At 39.7% G+C, this 22,401-nt stretch overlaps 2 protein-coding genes across 32 annotated transcripts in view, besides 3 other annotated features; one reads left to right on the top strand and one right to left on the bottom strand.

The window, feature by feature from the left end:
- The window catches only part of GANC (glucosidase alpha, neutral C), an 80,466-nt gene extending 71,271 nt beyond the window's left edge, over positions 1-9,195 (bottom strand). For 2 of the 10 annotated variants that reach the window (NM_198141.3, NM_001393932.1), the window contains exons 1-3: positions 7,886-9,195; positions 5,986-6,048; positions 3,806-3,914 (exon numbers count right to left, since the gene is read on the bottom strand). In NM_198141.3, the coding sequence (NP_937784.2) occupies positions 3,806-3,914; positions 5,986-6,048; positions 7,886-7,914 (201 nt within the window). In that variant the 5' untranslated portion in view covers positions 7,915-9,195. Of the gene's footprint in view, positions 1-1,262; positions 1,480-3,805; positions 3,915-4,307; positions 4,372-5,985; positions 6,049-7,885 lie in introns of all 10 variants that reach the window. The other 8 variants (NR_172055.1, NM_001393930.1, NM_001301410.2 and 5 more) reach the window with 8 other exon arrangements.
- Positions 7,802-9,001: an enhancer, noted in NCBI's record as "MED14-independent group 3 enhancer chr15:42565593-42566792 (GRCh37/hg19 assembly coordinates)". NCBI's record gives its function as "activates an origin of replication core promoter dependent on BRD2, BRD4, P300/CBP and CDK7 cofactors, and independent of MED14, by STARR-seq in HCT116 cells {active_cell/tissue: HCT116}" and the evidence as "EXISTENCE:reporter gene assay evidence [ECO:0000049][PMID:35650434]".
- The window catches only part of TMEM87A (transmembrane protein 87A), a 63,138-nt gene continuing 49,548 nt past the window's right edge, over positions 8,812-22,401 (top strand). For 13 of the 22 annotated variants that reach the window (NM_015497.5, NM_001438993.1, NM_001438998.1 and 10 more), the window contains exons 1-6: positions 8,963-9,141; positions 10,273-10,333; positions 14,364-14,449; positions 18,193-18,306; positions 21,147-21,200; positions 21,394-21,438. In NM_015497.5, the coding sequence (NP_056312.2) occupies positions 8,998-9,141; positions 10,273-10,333; positions 14,364-14,449; positions 18,193-18,306; positions 21,147-21,200; positions 21,394-21,438 (504 nt within the window). In that variant the 5' untranslated portion in view covers positions 8,963-8,997. Of the gene's footprint in view, positions 9,142-9,330; positions 9,508-10,272; positions 10,334-14,363; positions 14,450-18,192; positions 18,307-21,146; positions 21,201-21,393; positions 21,439-22,401 lie in introns of those variants that run through there. The other 9 variants (NM_001438996.1, NM_001438995.1, NM_001438994.1 and 6 more) reach the window with 6 other exon arrangements.
- Positions 8,974-9,203: an enhancer, noted in NCBI's record as "active region_9298". NCBI's record gives its function as "activates an Ori minimal core promoter by ATAC-STARR-seq in GM12878 lymphoblastoid cells {active_cell/tissue: GM12878}" and the evidence as "EXISTENCE:reporter gene assay evidence [ECO:0000049][PMID:35858748]".
- Positions 9,364-9,613: an enhancer, noted in NCBI's record as "active region_9297". NCBI's record gives its function as "activates an Ori minimal core promoter by ATAC-STARR-seq in GM12878 lymphoblastoid cells {active_cell/tissue: GM12878}" and the evidence as "EXISTENCE:reporter gene assay evidence [ECO:0000049][PMID:35858748]".

The following is a 22,401-nucleotide window of genomic DNA, read 5'->3' as shown; positions in this document are numbered from 1 at the left end:
CTCCTTGAAACACCCATCTTATCCCAGAAACCATTTTTAATAGAAGTTCTTTGTTATTAAAAATTTTTTTTTTTGAGACAGAGTCTCACTGTGTTGCCCAGGCTGAGGGTGCAGCGGCACAATCTTGGCTCACTGCAACCTCTGACTCCCAGGTTCAAGCAATTCTCCTGCCTCAGCCTCCTGAGTAGCTGGGACTACAGGCACATGCCACCATGCCTGGCTAATTTTTGTTATTTTTAGTAGAGACGGGTTTTACCATGTTGGTCAGGCTGGTCTTGAACTCCTGACCTCGTGATCTGCCCGCCTCGGCCTACCAAAGTGCTGGGATTATAGGTGTGAGCCACCGCACTCGGCCTTATTTTTGTATTTTTAGTAGAGATGGGGTTTCACCATGTTGATCAGTCTGGTCTCAAACCCCTGACCTCAGGAGATCCATCTGCCTGGGCCTCCCAAAGTGCTGGGATTATAGGCATGAGCCACTGCACCTGGCCTAAACAGGAATTTAAAAGAGACCGTTTCTCAAGACTTTTGCAGCTTGGCAATTTAATCAATGTATATGTATAACCTCTCAGTCACAATAATTATTTTCTACTATCCTGAAGGATTCACTTTATTAGTACAGCCTTCACAATTTTTTAATTTATGTTCATAAGTAAGTTAATCTGTAATTTTCTTTTTCCATGCTGTCTTTGTCATGTTTTAGGTCAATTTTTTTTGGACAGTGTCTGTGTTGCCCAGGCAGCAGTGTAGTGGCACAATCTTGGCTCACTGCAACCTCTGCCTCCCAGGGTCAAGTGATTCTCATGTCTCAGCCTTTGGAGTAGCTGGGATTACAGGCATGCATCACCCTGCCTGGCTAATTTTTGTATTTTTAGTAGAGATGGGGTTTTGCCATGTTGGCCATAGCTGGTCTCAAACTCCTGGCCTCAAGCGATCTGCCTGCTTTGGCCTCCCAAAGTGCTGGGATTATAGGTGTGAGCCACCACGCCTGGCCTAATAGAGGCTCTTTCACTATGCAATGAGCTGCATATAAGATGCAGGCAACATTAGTGATCACCATCACCTCTGTTGTCTCTAACAGACTGACAGAGGGCATGAAACCTTATGTACCTACTAGTCATCTCAACACCACATGACAAGGAGGACATTAAAATGGAGTTCAGTGCAGAATTTCAGGGTGATCTCCCGAAATATGTATTTGCATACATTTGCCTGAGATCAGGGCATGCAGATTCCCTATGTGGTTCTGATATTTCTAATACCTGAGCATGGAGTTTGTTCCAAGAGGTCCTCAAAGTTCTCAGTCTTGGGAGCTACGTTGCTGATGTCCCAGGTAATTTGTCCTTGTTTATCAGGCTCCTCAGCTTCCTTTTGAGCCAGGTGCTGTCTTGTGCTGAGATCCTGTGTCTCCTCCTGGACTGTGGTTTCTTTGCCTTTGAAGGCATCCAGAGTTGTTGGGCTCTGGTCCTGGCACCTGACCTGAAGAGCATTGTTCCTCACTTTTTCAGGATCCAAAAAGAGAAACTGATCTACAGTAACGTGAAATGGCATATGTGGGTGTCCACCGCAAACTGGTATCACGCTGTGTTGAGAATTTTCATTTCGGCTCACCACTGATATTCCGGGTGATTTTGCCTCATTTACTTTACCTCAGCACGTCTTCATGACCAGGTGCTCAATATACTAAGCATCCTCAAGAATGGATAGGGATTCTTGCTCTGACTATGGACAACTACAACTCTCTCAGGTTAGACACAATGGAAACAGGAAAGAAAATGAGACAATGAGAAGAAAAACTTGACAGAAAGGTTCTTGACATCTGGTCAAGGCCTAAAGACTCCTGGAAGGCCTCTGATGGACTTGATGCATTTCCTGGAGCCAACTGCTTCTGCTGACCCTGAATAGAAGGGTCTGGCCGGGTGTCAGGCTATTAGACCACATGCAAACAGTGGTTGGCTCTCCAGGAAGGAAATTAGTGCTGTCCCATTTTTTTCTCCATGAACAGTTACCAAACTAGGCTACAAAAGGATATATAAAAAACATATATAAATAAGAATATAAAGGGAGACCTGAATCAGCATTAGAGGACCTATGGCTTTGGGGGTACCATGAGCTGAGAACTCAAATGTATCAAACACACTAGGCAAGGAGGAAAATTACTCCAGAAAAATGGGTGGTGTAAGAATCAGTACTAGATTTTGGAGAAAGGCTAACTGCCCCATCTGTGCAGCTAAGAGAGATGAGCTAAATGTACCGCCACAATAACTATGTTGTAGAAGTTGAGGACAGGGGATGGGGATAAAGAACACAGAACTGTTGATATGATTCTAGCTCATTATTTTGAATTTGGGCAAGAAAGTTATGGATGAAGATTCCATATGACTAAAATCTCTAAAACTCCATAATGAAGGTAGTTTTCCTTACTGTACAATTGTTCTTTCTGTCTGGGAATAAAGTTTGGACCCATTTCTAAATTAAAGGCCTTACAATTATTATGGAGAACCCACGAATATCAGTACAGCGCTGCAGGGCAGGAACTATAGTAGTCACATAGTTCACAGCTTTGCCACGAACGTCAGCTTCCCAGAACTGGGACTTGTTAGTGAGTTGGTGCCGTTATTATCCAAGCAGTTATGGGACCCAGACCTAATGGCCTTAACTGTCTTTCAGTGATATGAATTACCAGTTAAGTCAGATTGGTCTCAGAGGCCTTAGAAACTTAGGATGCCTTTAGAATGCAGGCAGGATCTGAAAGTGAAGGTCAGGTTGAAGGCATCAGGCAGTAGTGCACAGTCACACTTCCTAGCACAGCCCATAGTGCTTCCTCTATGACTGGCCCATCTAAAGTAACATGACAACTTCACGGGTGAGATAAAGCACTTAAGATATACTTCCCTAACCCTCTCACTAGGCAAAAACTATGGTAACCTCTAGTGAAGCAGCTCAGGTGAGGGAACACTTGTTACTTGGGTTTTCAACTGCATAGTCCTTTTGCCTGTTCCCTGTTCCCCCTGGCCCACCTGCATTTTGAGATTTGGACATACCCTGAATTTGTACCTTGCTCAGGCTAAACATGCAAATGGGCATTGTGTAACAGTGTTAGAAAGCACGTGGGTGACAGCGTCTGACAGATGCAGGAGAAAATTTTGGTTACTAAATGTGAGACTTTGGGCAAGTGATTTTCCAGACTTCATTTTCCTTATCTGAAAATTGGGATAATATAATGTACCTCTTAGATGTGTTACGAAGACTAAACAAAAGGAAATAATATTTGTAAGACATTTAGGAAAACATCTGATACACAGGCAATCTATATACTTATATTCATATACCTATTACAATATTATTAGTATAGATACGAAAAGATGACATTCATTTTCTTTCTTTCTTTGTTCTTTTTTGAGGGAGGATCTTGCTGTGTCACCCAGGCTGAAGTGCAGTGGCACTATCATGGCTCACTGCAGCCTCGACCTCCCGGGCTCAAGAGATCCTCCCACCTCAGCCTCCTGAGTAGCTGGGACTACAGGCATACACCACTGTGCCTGGATAATTTTTTGTACTTTTTGTAGAGATGGGTTTTCGCCATGTTACCCAGGCTGGTCTCGAACTCCTGGGCTCGAGCAATCTGCCCACTTCTGCCTCCCAGAGTGCTGGGATTACAGGCGTGAGCCACTAATCACTAAAAGGCTGATATTCCTTTTCTAACGAGGTTTATTTTTGAAGCATACATAGCTTTAATTTACTTCATTCAGGCCCAATAAATACAGAAACAAATTATTCTCTGTAGAAAATACTTCCATCTCACCTTACTTGCTTCATTGATGATTTGGAACCTGGTGCTGTCTTCATCTGTTGTGACTGAATCCAATAATGCCTGATAGGTGGACTTCTTGGAAAGCCACTGTTTCTGACGCCTATAGATACGGAGTATGCAGATGCTTGATAATTATTTGTGATTGTCAGTATCCAAAAGACTATATTATCATGTGGAAGTCATTAAAATTCACTATGATATTCAGTGAATTTCAGGGCACAAACAGTATTAGTACTATAATAAAGTGCTAATCAGGAACTTTATTATTAGAATGCTAATAAGATGAGTATTAGTAAGAATACTAATACAATTGATTATTATAACGTTGCTCAAAGGATGACATCTTGTCTTTCTTGAGATGGTGGGGCAATTTTCATAGATGACATTTGTGAACTTGTTAATTTCCCTCCCTCTTTCCATAAAATGGACTTTAATAGTAACTAAATAATTTCTAGTGGATATTAAATATAATCTAGTGGTTTAACAAGGTTACCAGGCATTCACTGTAGACTTCCCTCTAGATACCTGTTCAGAATTAACATAATACGCTTTTCTTCCTATTAAACAGAGAGGGAATATGTTAGAAAGCTATACTGTATAATACAATTTTTGATTATTTCAGTTTCAAGATCACGTAAAGACTGTTTTTTTTTTTTTTTTTTTTTTCAAATGAACATTATGGCCAGGCGTGGTGGCTCACGCCTGTAATCCCAGTACTTTGGGAGGCCGAGGTGGATGGATCATCTGAGGTCAGGAATTCAAGACTAGCCTGACCAACATGGTGAAACCCCCTCTCTACTAAAAATACAAAAAATTAGCCGGGCGTGGTGGTGCATGCCTGTAATCCCAGCTAGTCGGGAGGCTGAGGCAGAAGAATCGCTTGAACCCAGGAGGTGGAGGTTGTGGTGGGCAGTGATTGCGCCACTGCACTCCAGCCTGGGTGACAGAGGGAGACTCCGTCTCAAAAAAATGCATAAAAATAAAATAAAATGAAGATTTTAAAGGCATATTTTTTGTAGCTCTGGAGAAACAGGCAATCTTTTTTTTTTTTTAGACGGAGTTTCACTCTTGTTGCCCAGGCTGGAGTGCAATGGCACAATCTCGGCTCACCACAATCTCTGCCTCCCAGGTTCAAGCAATTCTCCTGCCTCAGCCTCCCAAGTAGCTGGGATTACAGGCATGCGCCACCATGCCTGGCTAATTTTGTATTTTTAGTAGAGACGGGGTTTCTGCATGTTGGTCAGGCTGGTCTCAAACTCCCAACCTCAGGTGATCCGCCTGCCTTGGCCTCCCGAAGTGCTGGGATTACAGGTGTGAGCCACCTCGCCCAGCCAGGCAATCTTATATAATGTTGATAGGAGTACAAATGGTATAATTCCTATGGAGGGAAATCTGGTAATAGTTAACACATTTCAAATGCATTTACTCTTTGACCCAGTAATCTCACTCCTAGAAAGGTATCCTATAAATACACCTGCATGTGTAGAAAATGACCTATGTATAGCTCTTCATTGTGGTAGTGCTATTTTAGCAAAAGATTAAAAACAACCCAAGGGTCTAGCAATAAGAGACAGACTGAATAAATTATATTAATAGTATATCTACCCCATGGAATATTATGCAGCTGTAAAAAGGAGAAACAATCTCCATGCACTCATATGAATTTCTCCTCAGAACAAACTATAAAGCAGGAAAAAAAACCTATTTGGTATAAAAAGGGGTGATTAAAAAAAGAGAAAAGCAATAATATAAAAATACATGTATTTACAAAAAAATACTGGAAGGATAAATAAGAAATGAAGAAATTCGGTTATTCGGGACAAGATGAGGAATGGGTAGAAGGGGACAGGAGTGGAAGCAACATTTTTCAATGTATAGCTCTTTATATTATTTTTGAACCATGTAAAAGTGTTATCTATTCAAAGCGTCAAAATTTAAAACTAGTTTAAAAATATTTTGGCTTTTAAAATAAAATAGCTGTTTATTGAAAAATTTAAATACTTCAGGAGTAAATGTATAAAGTTAAAAGTGAGTCTCCTGTCTGATGATTTCCTTAATTATTAAATTATCCTTTCCTTGGAAAGTCTATCAGTTCCAAAAATTTAATAAGCATCAATTTTGAAATACTGTCAGAGATGTTTTGATCTAGCTACTATATTTATTTTCCTTACCTGTAAAATGCGATCTTGTTACAGTCTCTGAAAATGTTTTTATCTACAGCTTCATCTTCAAGACTAAATAAAAAGACATTTTGAGAAATTTATTTCACACAGGGCTTGTGAATCCAACTTTTGTACCTTCTCTAACGACAGTATGAACATGCAAAATAAACCTTTGGAGTCTATTCTGCAATGCAAAATTGTGTCACGGCCACAGTATAACATAATAGCACATTATGTTGCAGAACAATAGCCTTTTGTAAACCCTCTGAGGTAAACAACAAAACATCAGGTTCTGGGATTACTCCAAAAGTAATGGGAAAAGATCACTGTCACTTATGAGGACATATTCTTTTGAAATAATGACTGAAGGCTATGACCACAAAAGTAAAATCTGAAGGAGGAAAACCAAAACAGCATCCCAAAACGAACAAACCAAAACCAACCAACCAGACAAACTAAGAACCATAACCCACCCACCGATTTATTCAAGAAAATATTTTCAGAATATTCTTCCTGAGAGCTGGGCTCTGAGGAAGATATGAACTGTGTTCAAGCTATCAGTTAGGGTTTTACCAGCAATCACAATACAAGCTGACAAATGCTTTAATAGAGGTGCAAGGTGCTAGAATAAGAACAGAACAGACGTAGAAGGGGAATTTCTTGCTTTTTAAGATGAGGTGACAAACTAGGGGCCATGTTTTTTAAAACCAAGTTTCCAGAAGAGCTGTTTCTGGGATAAAACATGAATGAGATATATGTATATTGAAGTTTGAGTATATGTATTTAAACTAGCCTCCATCTGATTAAAACAACTACAGATTATAAGGAGAAAAAAAAATTACACCGGCTTTCATGCACTAGTGTGGCCGAATGCATCTGTAGTCAGCATGTCCATGATTATGTAGAAAGCTATGACTGAACACAAACGTCGAAATATTATGAAAACAAGCCCAGGCAGATATACTTGGCCATACTAAAAAACTGTTTGTCCTTCACTGAACTCAGTCTTTGTCCGTTTATTTTAATTTATTAAAAAAATTTTTTTTGAGACAGGATCTCGCTCTGCCTCCTACGTTGGAGTGAAGTGGCACGATCTTGGCTTGCTGCAACTGCCGCCTCCTGGGCTCAGGCTATCTTCCTGCCTCAGCCTCCTGAGTAGCTGGGACTACAGGCCCACATCACCACGTCTGGCTAACTTTAAAATTTTTGTAGAGACAGGGATTCAGCATGTTGCCCAGGCTGGTCTGAACTCCTGGGTTCAAGCAATCTGCCCACCTATAGGCCTCCCAAAGTGCTGGGATTACAGGCATGAGCGAACCGGCCCAGTTTATTTTAATCAAGTGTACAAAGATTGGAGAATCTTTTGTTTCCTCTTTACAGCTTCGAAGAATTAACTCTGGGATGATATAGGAAGGGGTGATTATAGATGAATTTGGAAAGCAACATGCCTGAAATTCACGTGTTAAGAGTTCTGATTGCAACTTTTCCACTGTTAATGTTATTTAACCATCCTTTTTTTTTGGAGACAGGGTCTCACTTTGTTGCCCAAGCAGTGGCAAGATCACAGCTCCACTGCAGCCTCCAAATCCATCCTCCCAGTGGTCTCCCAAGTAGCTGGGACTCCGAGGGGGCGGGGAGGGGGTCTCGAACTCCTGAACTCAAGCGATCCTCCCACCTTAGCCTCCCAAAGTGCTGTGGGATTACCTGCGTGAGCCACTGCACCCGGCCTATTTAACCATCCTGAAAGTATTTTATGAGAGGCTATTAATATCAACTAACTTCCCGCGAATTGAGAGAAAAGATAAAGGTCAGCAAATACCAAATACGCAAATAAGAAATGCAATTAAAACACTATTCCCTGTTTCTAGGGACCCTGGGGTCACTCGCTACAGAAGCACTTGGCCTTTACCTTATTTCCTCTTTCACTGCTGCTTCCATGGCTTCTCTGTCACTCCGACCAGCTCCCAGCTCTCAGGACAAGGGCCCTGGGCGATCTTTTAAAAAAGCCGATTGGGTGTCTTTCTAAAATTACAACCAGTACTTCATCGTCAAGTTTCTGGGAAGGGAGTCCCCTCCAGATTCTCATGGAGTGACAAATCTTGACTCTTGCTCCTGGAATTTTTCAGGCCCAAACTAGCGTTTCTACAATGATTTATTTGGCAAATTTGTCTTGATTATGGGTGGCTGATGAGGAACGTGCTTTTGTTAGGAACCGAAACTGGGCGGCGGTGAGGGCGTGTACGCAATGAGTCCTAGAGGGTAAAAATCAAGAGCGTTAAGAACCTGGAAATGCCGAGACGGCCTCCCTGACTGGGACGAAGCATCTGCAGATCTATCTCAGTGGCGGGGTCACGCCACAGATTTTGAAAACTGACCCTCTCTGTCTCCGTTTTCGGTTAAGGGTGGGAAGTGCCGGCCGGGTCTTTGCTGGAGGCTAGGTCTCCAGCCAGATTGTACTGCAGCATCGTACTCTTCAGGGCTAGAAGGGGCCTTTGAAGGTTGTTACACTACCCAGTCTAGGAATCGCGTGTACTCCACCACCGCCGAATTCCAGCCTTTGCTTAAATACCACCCAAACCGGAGAACTCACTACTAGACGCCACTTGGGCAGCCAGGCTTAGGGCTTTTCCAGACTTTCTGGCCCCAAAGTCTGACATTGACTTAGAAGGGATGAAGGGCTGGGGCGAGCGGAAGTAGAGAGCCAAATCCTGCACGGGGTGCCTGCCTGGTCCTAAAACCTTTAACGGCTGGGAGACAGAAAAGACTCAGGCCAGGCTGGCATGTAGCGATCTCTCTAACCCAGCTGACCAGGTTCCAACAGGATGACGCCTGCGCAGTAGGTCCAAAGTCTCACGGCGCACAGACGACTGTCTGAGAGAGGGGCCGCTACGCCGCACAGCAAACAAGCTCCGCGACGTTTCCAGGACCCGGATAATCCCGCCCTTAGAGCAGAGCCGGAAGAAGGCGGGACGAACCGGAAGAGGGTGAAATGCTTTCGGTAGGCACTCCACGGCTGTGAAGATGGCGGCGGCTGCGTGGCTTCAGGTGTTGCCTGTCATTCTTCTGCTTCTGGGAGCTCACCCGTCACCACTGTCGTTTTTCAGTGCGGGACCGGCAACCGTAGCTGCTGCCGACCGGTCCAAATGGCACATTCCGATACCGTCGGTGAGTATTCACTTCACTAACGTCTGAACCTAGAGGAGCAAGGGGTGGGGCTACGGCGGCCCAAGGGGTCCATGAAGGTTCCGCAAAAGTCTCTTCAAAAGGGGTGGGGTTGCTGGGATGGTCTGTGTGGCTAGCCAACTGGGACCCACCTCCCTGGAGTGGAAAGCCGCGCACTTCTGTGATTAGGCTAGCGGGAATGTAAGGGCCACTTCAGCAACAGAAAGGAGTGGTGGAGCGGCTTCTCATCAGAAAAACAGAACTTTCAGTGCCTGACTTGAGATGTAAACTTGATGTACAAACGGAGAGTTGTTTATCTTTCAGATGTTTCACAGAATCCAGTGTCCCCGGGTTGGATAAGAAAGATATGTAAATAGGAGTCTTCATTTCTTTCTTTCTTTTTCTTCCTCTGCACTTCTTGGTCCCTGGGTAATTCTGCTTACGAGATGGTTCGACTTCGCTTCAACTTTGGAATGGCTATTCTAAGCTTTACTGTGTGACTAGAAAGCATAGAGATTTAAGAAATGTGTTTTAACATGGGAATGGTTAAAATTGAAGAAATAGTACTTAAAATTTAATGTGGTAAGGCTAGTCTTTCATTTGGATAATTAACTACATGGGTTGACCCTTTCTGCCCCTTACCCATTTTAAACCTTATTTCAGTAACAGGTATAGTCCTGTGAGCAGACAAAAACCAGATGCAGGGAGGAAATGCTGAAAAGCATTAGCCCCATTAAACCTACGTTGGCCTTTTTGTTTCATTCTGCTCTGCTCACTGACTGTAATGTCCAAATCTTATTTGGGCTTTTATTATGGTAAACGTTATACCTTTTGTTCAGTGGTGAAGATTTTCAGGTGTTCAGTTAGGTTTTTACTTGTTACTAAAATGGTTAATAGTTAAGTCTTTTTAGATTTGAAAATAAAACTCTGGTTATTTGCACACAGAATAGTTCATTAGAAAAAATGATTGGTTATTCTGAGCAGTGATTGGTGAGTAAAGGGAATGAACTGATTAAGGGGTACGTCCCATAAAGATTTAAGTTAAGTTGGAATTTCTAGCAGTCTTAGATAGTTATATGATGCTTTGGTAATTGAAGCCATCTGAGGCTAATTATCTTTCCTTTATGTTTGCAGGGGAAAAATTATTTTAGTTTTGGAAAGATCCTCTTCAGAAATACCACTATCTTCCTGAAGTGTGAGTTTTTGAATTTCATGAAGTTTTAATTTGAATTTTAAAAATTTATAGGTAATGTTTTAAATTACCTATTTTATAAGTTCTGAAATCTAATAGTCTGGCATTATCTAGGTATAAATATTTTTAGTATTACTAAGGTCCTTTTACTGAATCATCTTCAAAGTACTCGTGTGAACTTTATTTTCTTCTCTTGTTTTTCTGGTGTTTACATTGCATATATACACTATGTAGACATTATATATTAGTATATATAATGTATATATTAATATATATGCTGTATATACTACATTGAATATTCAGTCACATCTCAGTCGAATTACATTTACAGTTGATACTTTCTGAGAAAAGCATCCTTAGGTGATTTTGTCATTATGCAAACATCATAGAGTATACTTAAAACTGGATGGCACTACACGCCTAGTTTGTATGGTACAGCCTATTGCTCCTAGGCTATAAACCTGTATAACATGTTACTGTACTGAATGCTATAGGTGGTTGTAACACAATGGTAAGTTTTTGTATATCTAAACATAGGAAAGTAGAGTACAAATACGATATTACAATTTTATGGGACCCCCGTTGTATATGTAGTCTTTCATTTACTGAAATGTTATGTAGTGAATGACTGTGATTATGTTGGGGTTGATTCCCTGCATGGTGGTTTTAATCTGTTCTGTGTAGATTAAAGAGGTTTTACTCTTGTGTGCTTGTTAAATGTTTACTGCAAACATGACCTAGGTTTGTCAGGCCGTTGGCTGTGAAGGAATATATTTAGTAGATCCTTTATTTACAAAAGGAGTATTTTACTGCTTTGGAAGAGGAAGCTCAGATATTATCAAGAAATAGGGATTATGTAGAACAAAACTAGTTTGTCTAGTGGAAAAATGACTGTATCTGAATCTAAAGTATCCCATTGTGTGTTCAGTAAAAGCTTCCTTTTAGTTCTGAAACCGGCTTTAATTTAGAGAACGATTGATCGTGGGCAGCTTTATTTCTAGATGAGGGATAAAAATCCTGATGATAGATGTGTGATTCTATGCATACTGTCTTCACGGAAGTGCAAAATTTTAAGTCATAGTTGGATAATTTTATTCTTTTCAATTGTTTAGTGAGTAATTATTACTTATTGCATAGACTGTGGGGAAGTAATAGAAAAATGTTCTTCCCTCATCGAGCTTACATTCTAGTGGGAGTGAAAACAGCAGGTAGAATTTCTCTGAAGAATATATACTGTATCCATGAATATGTAATCAGTCTCCTGACCAGTGACTTATATTTGATTTAGATCAAATCTACTCTGACACTGGCCTTGTGAGATTGGTTTACTGGGTAACCTAGTAACCCTTGTCTTTTGGAATAGCTTGACAGCCTGTTTGCTGTTTTATTCTTTTATTAGGTCCAGTCTTTTTTTCTCGTGTAGTTTGATCTAGTGGTGTTTTGCCAAGTTAAACCAACTGCATTTTTTTTAAGATGGTGTCTCACTCTGTCACCCAGACTGGAGTGCAGTGGTACGATCTTGGCTTACTGCAACCTCCACCTCCCAGGTTCAAGCGATTCTCCTGCCTCAGCCTCCCGAGTAGCTGGGATTACAGGCATGAGTCTCTATGCCCAGCCCTAACTGCGTATTTTGAAGTGTTTATATTTCATTGTTTTTGGAGGATTTGAGGCACTTTATTTTTTGTTGTTGTTTTTTGAGACGGAGTTTTGCTGTGACGCCCAGGCTGGAATGCAGTGGCACGATCTCGGCTCACTGTAACCTCTGCTTCCTGGGTTCAAGCGATTCTTCTGCCTCAGCCTCCCGAGTAGCTGGGACTATAGGCGCGTGCCACCACGCCGGCTAATTTTTGTATTTTTAGCAGAGGTGGGGGTTTCACCATATTGGCCAGGCTGGTCTCGAACTCCCGACCTCAAGTTATCTGCCTGCCTTGGCCTCCCACAGTTCTGGGATTACAGGTGTGAGCCACCGTGCCCGGCCTGAGACACTTTAACATTATCTTTTTCTTTGTTATTTCTGTGCTTTCTCATATTTACCAGTTGTCTTTGATTTTGTACTTTTTGGGGGATGGTATATAGCTTTCCATGGAATAGCTGGGACCATTTTTTTTTTTTTTTTTTTTTTTGAGACGGAGTCTCGCTCTGTCGCCCAGGCCGGACTGCGGATTGCAGTGGCGCAATCTCGGCTCACTGCAAGCTCCGCTTCCCAGGTTCACGCCATTCTCCTGCCTCAGCCTCCCGAGTAGCTGGGACTACAGGCGCCCGCCACCGCGCCCGGCTAATTTTTTGTATTTTTAGTAGAGACGGGGTTTCACCTTGTTAGCCAGGATGGTCTCGATCTCCTGACCTCATGATCCACCCGCCTCGGCCTCCCAAAGTGCTGGGATTACAGGCGTGAGCCACCGCGCCCGACCTTATTGTCTCTTAAAGCCTTTCATTTAAAGTTCTAAATATTGTCTTGTAACATAAACAGCAGTATTTTTGCTGCCAAATTTCCTTACAAGTCTCCTGTTTGGGGGATGTGTTCTTACTGGCTTTTTATTAGTTAATCCTGTCCCTGTATGGATTATTTTGAATAGTTCATAGCCCAATTGCTTTTTATCATTTCCATAAATTCTATCCAACAGGTCAAATTTTTGAACATTCTAATAGAGTCCTTTGAAAATGTGTTGGTCATCTAAAAATTAGTTTGAGAAAACAGTTTAAAAGAAAAAAAAAGGAAGCTTATAATTAGGTTGCTTCTTTTGTTATGAATGAAAAGTAGATTCCTAAATGCAGTCATGTTTATTTTTGTCATGTTTATTATTACATTTATATAAAGTAGGGAGTCTTTAGTATATTTTTCCTTTCATAGCTAGAATCAAAGATAAAAGCGAATACTGACTTCCTCCAGCTAATCAGTCATATAGTCAGATTTACCCTCCCAAGTCTTCAGAATAATGTCTTGATCCATTAGAATACTGTGTTCCAAACTGTGTTTAATGAGCTTTATGAAGCTTCCATGATAACATGAGCTTCCTTGAGGCCTCTTTTAAGGTAGGCTTTGAAAAAAAAAATCTGATACTCTTATCTTTGCTTTTGCTATTTCTACCTTCCACAGCCATGTTTGCTTTTCGTTCATTGCTCTTTCTGTTCTATCTTGATATCTTTCAAGGTCTGAGATAGCAATTTTGCTCTCAGTGGAACTATTATGTATATCATCATTTAACACCATTTAACAGTTGTTAATATTGCCTTGTGACATGCATTCCTAATTTTATTATTGCTTGTCTCTTCAACTAGCCTTTTGAAGGGTCTTAATAATTTGTTTCCACTCGTTTCCCTCTTTAGCCTAACAGTGTGCCATTATACCTTTGTAATACTTGTGCTATTTATTTATTTATTTATTTATTTATGTTTTTTGAGACAGGGTCTCGCTCTGTCGCCCAGGCTGGAGTGCAGTGGTACCATCATGGCTCACTGCAGACTTGACCTCCTGGGCTCAAGTGATCCTCCTGCCTCCCTTGCCTGAGTAGCTGGGACTACAAGCATGTACCACCACGCCTAGCTTTTTAATCATTTTTTGTAGAGATGAGTTCTCACTATGTTGCCTAGGGTGGTCTTGAGCTCCTGGGCTCAAGCGATCCCCCTGCCTTGGCCTCCCAAACTTCTGGGGTTATAGGTGTGAGCTACCGCACCTAGCCTGCTCAATAAATACTTAAATAATAGAAGACTGGCTTGAATTTAGAGTGCTTTATCACTCCCAGGTTTTTCTCAATAGAGATCCAGAAGTTAGGACTTTATGGCATAAAAATAGATCCACAGTTTCCAGAGGTTAAAAACTGCTTACCTGCTATTTTTCTATGAACAACAATACTTTTATCTTAATATCCAGCTCTTTTTGCATGTATTATTTCAATACCTTATGTTTGGAGAAAGGATGGTCTTTGAGTATCTCAGTTTAGGGTACGAAATGAATAGGATATAGGTTAACAGCTTAGGAAAAATGCTTTGTTGGGGAATTATCTTTTGTTAACAAAGATTTCTTCTTTTGTAGTTGATGGAGAACCTTGTGACCTGTCTTTGAATATAACCTGGTATCTGAAAAGCGCTGATTGTTACAATGAAATCTATAACTTCAAGGTAAGGAACATAAAATTACAGAGTTTTTTTGGACCTTAGTGATTATCTGGTTCCAGTCTCTTAATTTCATAGAGGAAAGAGTATCATGTAGCTATGGAGGAGGAGAGCTGAAACTAGAATGCATGCTTCCCAATTTGCAGACCACCAATTCTCAAACTTTTTGGTTTCAGAACTCTTATATTTGTAAAAATTATTGTGGACTCCAGAAAGCCTTTGAGCATGTGGGTTATGCTATTAGAAATTACAACTGAGAAAATATAAAAATATTTATTAGTTTATTTTAAAGTAGCAATAATAAACTTATTGCATGTTAATATAAATAACTGTTTTTCCCAGAAAACCACACAGAAGAGTAGGATTGTTTTGTATTTTTGTAAATTTGTTTACTATCTGGCATAACAGAAGATCACTGTATTCTTATATTCCCTCCTTCACTCAGTCTGTTGCAATAATTTGGCTTAAGTACATGTAGAAAATAATGACCTCATACAGATATATAGTTGGGAAAAGGAATGGTATTTTAATGGCCTTTTCAGATAACTGAGGATATTCTTTTTTGATTCTATACCAAAACTCAACAAGTGGAAGTTTTTAAAGGTTAGTTGCAATGTGGAATCTGAAATATTAATGAACTTTTTTTGTACTCTGATAAGAAATCCACTGATATGAATGTATCTTTTACCTGTGTGTGATCTTGTAGCATCATTTATTGGTCATTTAGAAAATAGCAGTTGACTGAATTATATACATTTTTATAAATATTAACTCATTTCACACTTAGCTAAAAATTACATTGTTTATAACTATACCCTGCCCTCTTCATCTCATCAGTAGGTTCTTAAGTTTTGGAAGCCGTTAAATTCAGTGTAGCAGATACAAGTTCTTCAAAATTCCAGTTTTTGCTTGAAATCTCAAATTTTATTTTGGCAGTGAATACTGTCAGTTGTCTTCCTTGAGGGGACAGCCTCTGTTGCCCATTTCCAGAGAAATAACTCTCAAATAACCAAGTCTGAGTAATGGTAGTTTTTCAGTCATTCTTTCAAGTAAATATGGTGTTTCGTGGAAAAAATGATTAGTTTAACTCACAAGTCAAAGCAATTGCAGAGTGCTTTATCTCAAGACAATAATTTATTGTATTTTGCATGCTTTCCATTTTGTCACCTAGATTATTTAAAAAGTCAGGTACTCAAAAGGTCCAGATTTAATAACATTAATAATTTTTACTGCTTTATCTAGGATATTCTTACATAAAAGTGGCATTTTTAAAAACTGCCAGTTTGTGACTATGAAGAATATGACTGCTAGTAGAATTAAATGCCACTGCCTTAGTTCCTGATAAGGGGCAACAGTTTTACCCACTATTGCTTTTGTAATATCGTTACAAGTCAAATAGCATACTATTATTATTATGAAAATAGTTTTTTTTTTTTTGAGATGGAGTCTCACTCTGTCACCCAGGCTGGAGTGCAGTGGCGCGATCTCAGCTCACCACAACCTCTGCCTCCTGGGTTCAAGTGATTGTCCAGCCTCAGCCTCCCAAGTAGCTGGGATTACAGGTGTCTGCCACCACACCCGGCTAATTTTTGTATTTTTAGTAAAGATGGGGTTTTGCCATGTTGGCCAGGCTGGTCTCAAACTCCTGACCTCAGGTGATCCACCTGCCTCAGTCTCCCAAAGTGCTGGGATTACAGGCGTGAGCCATTGTGCCCAGCCATGAAAATAGTTTTGTCTATGGTTCAACGGCCACACTTTTGAGAATTGCCATAATCTAGAATACTTGAGCGTTGAAAATATATTGCTCAAAGAATAAAGCTGGAAGCATCACATTACCTGACTTCAAACTGTACTACAGGGCTACAGTAACCAAAACAGACACAAAGACCAATGAAACAGAGAAGACAGCCCAGAAATAAGGCCGCACACCTACAACCATCTGATATTTAACAAAGCTGACAAAAAACAAGCAATGGGGAAAGGACTCCCTATTTAGTAGATAGTGTTGCGGTAGCGTGCTGGCCATATGCAGATTGAAACTGGACCCCTTCCTCACACCATATTCAAAAATCAACTCAAGATAGATTAAAGACTTAAATGTAAAACCCAAAACTATAAAAACCCTGGAAGACAACCTAGGCAATACCATTCTGGACATGGGAAGTGGCAAAGATTTCATGATGAAGATGCCAAAAGCAATTGCGCCAAAAGCAATTGCAACAAAAGCAAAAATTGACAAATGGGATCTAATTAAGTTTAAGAGCTTCTGCACAGCAAAAGAAACTATCAATAGAGTAGACAGCCTACAGAATGGGAGAAAATATTTGCAAACTATGCATCCAACAAAGGTCTAATATCCAGCCTCTATAAGGAACTTAAACAAATTTATATGCAAAAAACAACCCCATAGAAAAGTGGGTAAAGGACATGAACAGACACTTTTCAAAAGAAGATATACAGCCAACAAGCATATGAAAAAAAAAAAGCTCAGTATCGTTGATTATTAGAGAAATGCAAATCAAAACCACAATGAGATACCATCTCACATCAGAATGGCTATTATGAGAAAGTCAAAGGATAATAGATGCTGGCAAGGTTGTGGAGAAAAGGGAATGCTTATACATTGTTAGTGGGAGTGTAAATTAGTTCAACCACTGTGGAAAGCACTGTGGCAATTCCTCAAAGAGCTAAAAACAGAATTACCATTTGACCCAGCAATCCCATTACTGGGTATATATCCAAAGTAATATAAATCATTCTACCGTAAAGACATATGCACATATATGTTCACTGCAGCACTGTTTACAATAGCAAAGACATGGAATCAACCTAAATGCCCATCAATGGTAAACTGGATAAATGTGGTACATATGCGGCCATAAAAAAGAATGTGATACATATGCAACCATAAAAAAGAATGAGATCATTTCCTTTGCAAGAACACAGAAGGAGCTGGAGGCCATTAACCTTAGCAAACTAACACAGGAACAGAAAGCGAAATACCACGTTTTCACTTATAAGTGGGAGCTGAATGATGAGAACACATGATCACAAAGAGGGGAACGGCAGACACTGGGCCTACTTGAGGGTGGAGGGTGGGAGGAGGGAGAGGATCAGAAAAAATAACTCTTGAGTACTAGGCAGTACCTGGGTGATGAAATAATCTGTAAAACAGTTCCCTGTGAGTTCAGTTTACCTATATAACAAAGTTGCGTATGTATACCGGAACCTAAAATAAAAGTTAAAAAAAAAATATATATATATATATACACACACATATATATAGTTCTGAGTTGAATTTTTCAGACCTTTTCCATTCTGTTTCTATCTCTCAATTTGCATTTTTAAGAAGATTATCCTAGTTCTGTGCTTGCAACAATTTTCTGCTCTATCTTAGCTTATGAGCATGAATATTTTTTTGTTGATGTTGTTAATTTGGTCAAGTAAATCTTTTAAGTATATTTTAATGTGACAAAACCCTCTACACTCTGGCAGTTTCCCAGTCTACTCAGAATTGTTAGTAGAACTATGCCTTGTGAGCCAAAGACTAGAGTCTAATAGTCCTTGAGTCTGATAGTGTTTGATTCTTAGATATTTTTATATAGAGCCTTTATCTGATGCTGTTCATTTTTAAAATAGCAAACTCAAAATTGTATCTGTACTGCAGGTGAACTGTTTGTTGTGCTGTGCTCTTAGTATCTTATTTTTTGGAAGGTGAGTTAACTACTCTGTATTATCTCTTTTTCCAGGCAGAAGAAGTAGAGTTGTATTTGGAAAAACTTAAGGAAAAAAGAGGCTTGTCTGGGAAATATCAAACATCATCAAAATTGTTCCAGAACTGCAGTGAACTCTTTAAAACACAGGTAATCTTTGAAAGTGATTGGAGATAAATAGAATAGGCAAAAATTGGAATGTATATATTTTTGGCTGTATCCACTTCCGACTTCTCAAGTATTTCTTTTGGCAGAAGTAAGTGGAAGCATGTTCTGATAGGTACATAGTCAGCCACTTATACATACTCATCAAAGAGAGGTTGTACTTTGCTTTGTGTGTAAAAAGCAAACCCCCATTTTTTTATTGTGGTAAAATATACACTACATAAAATTTACCATTTTAACCATTTCTAAGTGTATAATACAGTGGCATTAAATATATTCACATTGCTGTGCAGCCATCGACCCATCTCCAGTACTTTTTTTTTCCCCAAGGCAGATTCTTGCTCTGTCCGCCAGGCTGGAGTGCAGTGGCACAATCTCGGCTCACTGCAGTCTCCATCACCCGGATCTAAGCAATTCTTTCACCTCAGCCTCCCAAGTGGCTAGGGCTACAGATTCACACCATTACGCCTGGCTAATTTTTTTTGTATTTTCTGTAGAGACAGGATTTCACCATGTTAGCCAGGCTGGTCTTGAACTCTTGACCTGAAGTGATCCACCCACCTTGGCCTCCCAAAATGCTGGGATTACAGGTGTGAGCCACCGGGCTGAGCCCCATCTCTAGTACTTTTATCATCCCAAACTGAAACATCATACCTATTAAACAAAAATTCCCCACCTTCCAACCCCAAGACCATGGTAACCACTCTTCTACTTTCCATGAATTTGACTATTCTAGATACCTCATATAAATAGAATCATACAACTTTTGTTCTTTTTTGTCTGACTTCTTCCACTTAGCATAATGTTTTTAAGGTTCATCCATGTTATAGCGTTATCAGAATTTCATTCCTTTTTAAGGCTAAGTGATGTTCTATTGTATGTATGTACCACATTTTGTTTTTCCATTCATCTGTTGATGGACATTTAAAACGTCACATTTTTAATTCTTTGGTCTCCTCATCTAATTAATATGTTCCCAGAAAAATCAGGGTTTTTAAAATTTACTTCTATAGATCTGAAATCAGAAGGGTATCATCATTGTCTTAGAGTTCAATTTCACACCTTAATTTTGTAGAAAGAGGGAGATGTGAATAATCATACATTTTTCGTGCTTACACATATGCAATCATGTAAGTGGAGATTCTGATATCAAATTTTGTTGTCTTAGAAATAGTAATCTCAGTTTTTTGATAGAAAAATTTTATATGTGTTGAAAATAGTTATAGTAATTATCATCTATACTTGTCCTTACTATATTTAAAAATTATTTTGGAATATTTAGCAACTTGCCTTGAACTGTCAAATTACTAGAAGTAAAGTTTATTATTAAGAAGACAAATTTAGTCATTGGTAATTGAGGCCAGATGCGGTGGCTCAGGCCTGTAATCCCAGCACTTTGGGAGGCCGAGGTGGGCGGATCACCTGAGGTCAGGAGTTCAAGACCAGCCTGGCCAACATGGTGAAACCCTGTCTCTACAAAAAAATTAGCCGGGCATGGTGGCGGGTACCTGTAATCCCAGCTACTCGGGAGGCTGAAGTGGGAGAATCACTTGAACCCAGGAGGCTGAGATAGTGTCAGTGCACTCCAGCCTGGGCGACAAGAGTGAAACTTGGTCTCAAAAAAAAAAAAAAAAAAGGGATAATTGATGAGCAGATGAATTAATTGGTAATTGAAGGAAGAGTTCCGCTTTTATTATAACTTAGATTTTATGGTCTTGGAGGGAAAAGAAAATAGCTTTAAGATGGTGAAAGAATGGTAGAGAAAGCTAGAAGCAATGTGATGTTGTGTAGTTTGTATGTTTTCTGTTGGTTTTCCAAATTTATCCCTTAGACTAGGAGGATTGGTTGGTCTTTTCTTGGATTTGATTATGGAAAGCTACCTGATGCATCTGGTTGCTGGAGGCTGACTACTTTTAGATGTGCTGTAATCTTTCCAGGGTCTTGGCTTATTGGTAAGGTTTCCTCTCCTCCTCCAGTCTAATGTAACAGGGTTGAATTACACAGTCTCATTACTCAGGAAGGACAATGCCTCATCTACTGATAACTGGTAAGAAAGATAATTAGTGTAGTTTTTTACAGGCATAAAAAATGTAGTATGGTGGAAGGGACAGCAGACCTAAGCATCAAGAATATTAGGTTTAGGCCGGGCGCGGTGGCTCACGCCTGTAGTCCCAGCACTTCGGGAGGCCGATGTGGGCGGATCATGAGGTCAGGAGATTGAGACCATCCTGGCTAACACGGTGAAACCCTGTCTCTACTAAAAATACAAAAAAATTAGCCAGGCATGGTGGCGGGCACCTGTAGTCCCAGCTATTCGGGAGGCTGAGGCAGGAGAATGGCATGAACCTGGGAGGCGGAGCTTGCAGTGAGCCGAGATAACACCACTGCACTCCAGTCTGTGCAACAGAGCAAGACTCCGTCTCAAAAAAAAAAAAAAGAATATTAGGTTTAAATCCTATTTCTTTGTCTAAAGCTTTGTAGTTTTGAGCCACATTTTACTCATCTGTAGAATGAGGGGAAATGATCTAAGCTTCTTCTATCCTAAGCATACATCCTATATCTAAAGCTTTGTCATTCTTAAATGTTTATTATTCTGATAGAAAAATTGAATGGCCATTTTGGTTTGATACTATTTTCTAGTTCCCAGCAGGGTTTTATTCACTTGTTTGTGGTTAATTGGAAATGTTTTGTCTACTGATGCTGTGTTATTATATTTACTAGTTAGGGTGTGGTGTTTTGTTCTAACCATTTCTTTGTATTTTGAGCTACACTTTTCTTCTAGTATTTACACACCTTTAATGTTTTGTTTTGTGTTTCTTTTATAGACCTTTTCTGGAGATTTTATGCATCGACTGCCTCTTTTAGGAGAAAAACAGGAGGTAATTGTTTTCATTATATATTTCTGAGAGTGCAGTAAAAACTTTGGTGGTGCAGGAGATACCCGTGCTCACTGCATCTCTAAGGAGGGAGTGCTGCACCTGGGGAGCAGGCTTCCCCAGTGGCTACAGGAACTTGGGCAGCTAAAAACAAGAAGTTCTGAATTAATTATTATTATTTTTTTAATGTTTAAAGGCTAAGGAGAATGGAACAAACCTTACCTTTATTGGAGACAAAACCGTAAGTATATTTGGGGATTTGGGGCATTGAACACATATTTTAGTTTTCTTAAATTTGTGTATTTCTGAATTGTTCTCCCATACTATGCTAATATTTGAAAAGAAAGTTAAATCTGGAAGCTATAGACCAAAATGTTAAAAATGGTTGGATCTCTGGATGATAGTATGAGTGATTTTTAGTTTCTTTGTGTTTTCTGAATTTTCTACTGTACACATGTATTGCTTTTATAATTATCCCCCCATAAATATCTGTAAACAGGAAGAAACTTATTAAAAATAAGAACTCTTAAACTTCATCTAAAATTATCTGTGATAAAATATAATTGAAAGAGAGTTTGGAAAAATTGAAATAAGGTCTAAAGCTATAAATATGCCTTAAGTTTTCATAAATATGCATTGTATGGATACTATTTTCAAATTCATAATTAATTCCTCAAAACATCACCAGTTAAAAATTTAGAGGAAGGATGACAGCTATCAATGTTGGGTTATGGTTTTTACAAAGCTGATTAAAGTTTTTAATTTTATAACAACTTTATGAAGGTATAATATACATATTACAGAAGTTATGTTTTGTTTCGTTTTTTGAGACAAGGTCTCACTCTTGCCCATGCTGGAGAACAGTGGTATGAAGATGGCTCCCTGCAGCCTTGACGTCTTGGGCTCAAGTGATCCTCCTGCCTCAGACTCCAAGTAACTGGGGCCACAGGCACATACCACCATGCCTGGTTAATTTTAAAAAATTTTTTGTGGGGGTTGGGTCTCACCATGTTGCCCAGGCTGGTATAGAACTCCTAGGCTCAAGTAATAGTCTCACTTCAGCCTCCCAAAGTGCTAGGATTATAGGCGTGAGCCACTGCACCTAGCCTAAAAGTTGTTATTAAAGTTATTAAAGCATATAATTGAGTGGTTTTTAGTATTCTCAAGTTGTGCAAGCACCAATCGCTAATTCCAGAATTGTTCA

The sequence above is a fragment of the Homo sapiens genome, chromosome 15, assembly GCF_000001405.40.
Source record: "Homo sapiens chromosome 15, GRCh38.p14 Primary Assembly".
Classification (NCBI taxonomy): domain Eukaryota; kingdom Metazoa; phylum Chordata; class Mammalia; order Primates; family Hominidae; genus Homo; species Homo sapiens.
This window is presented reverse-complemented; position numbering and strand designations above follow the sequence as displayed.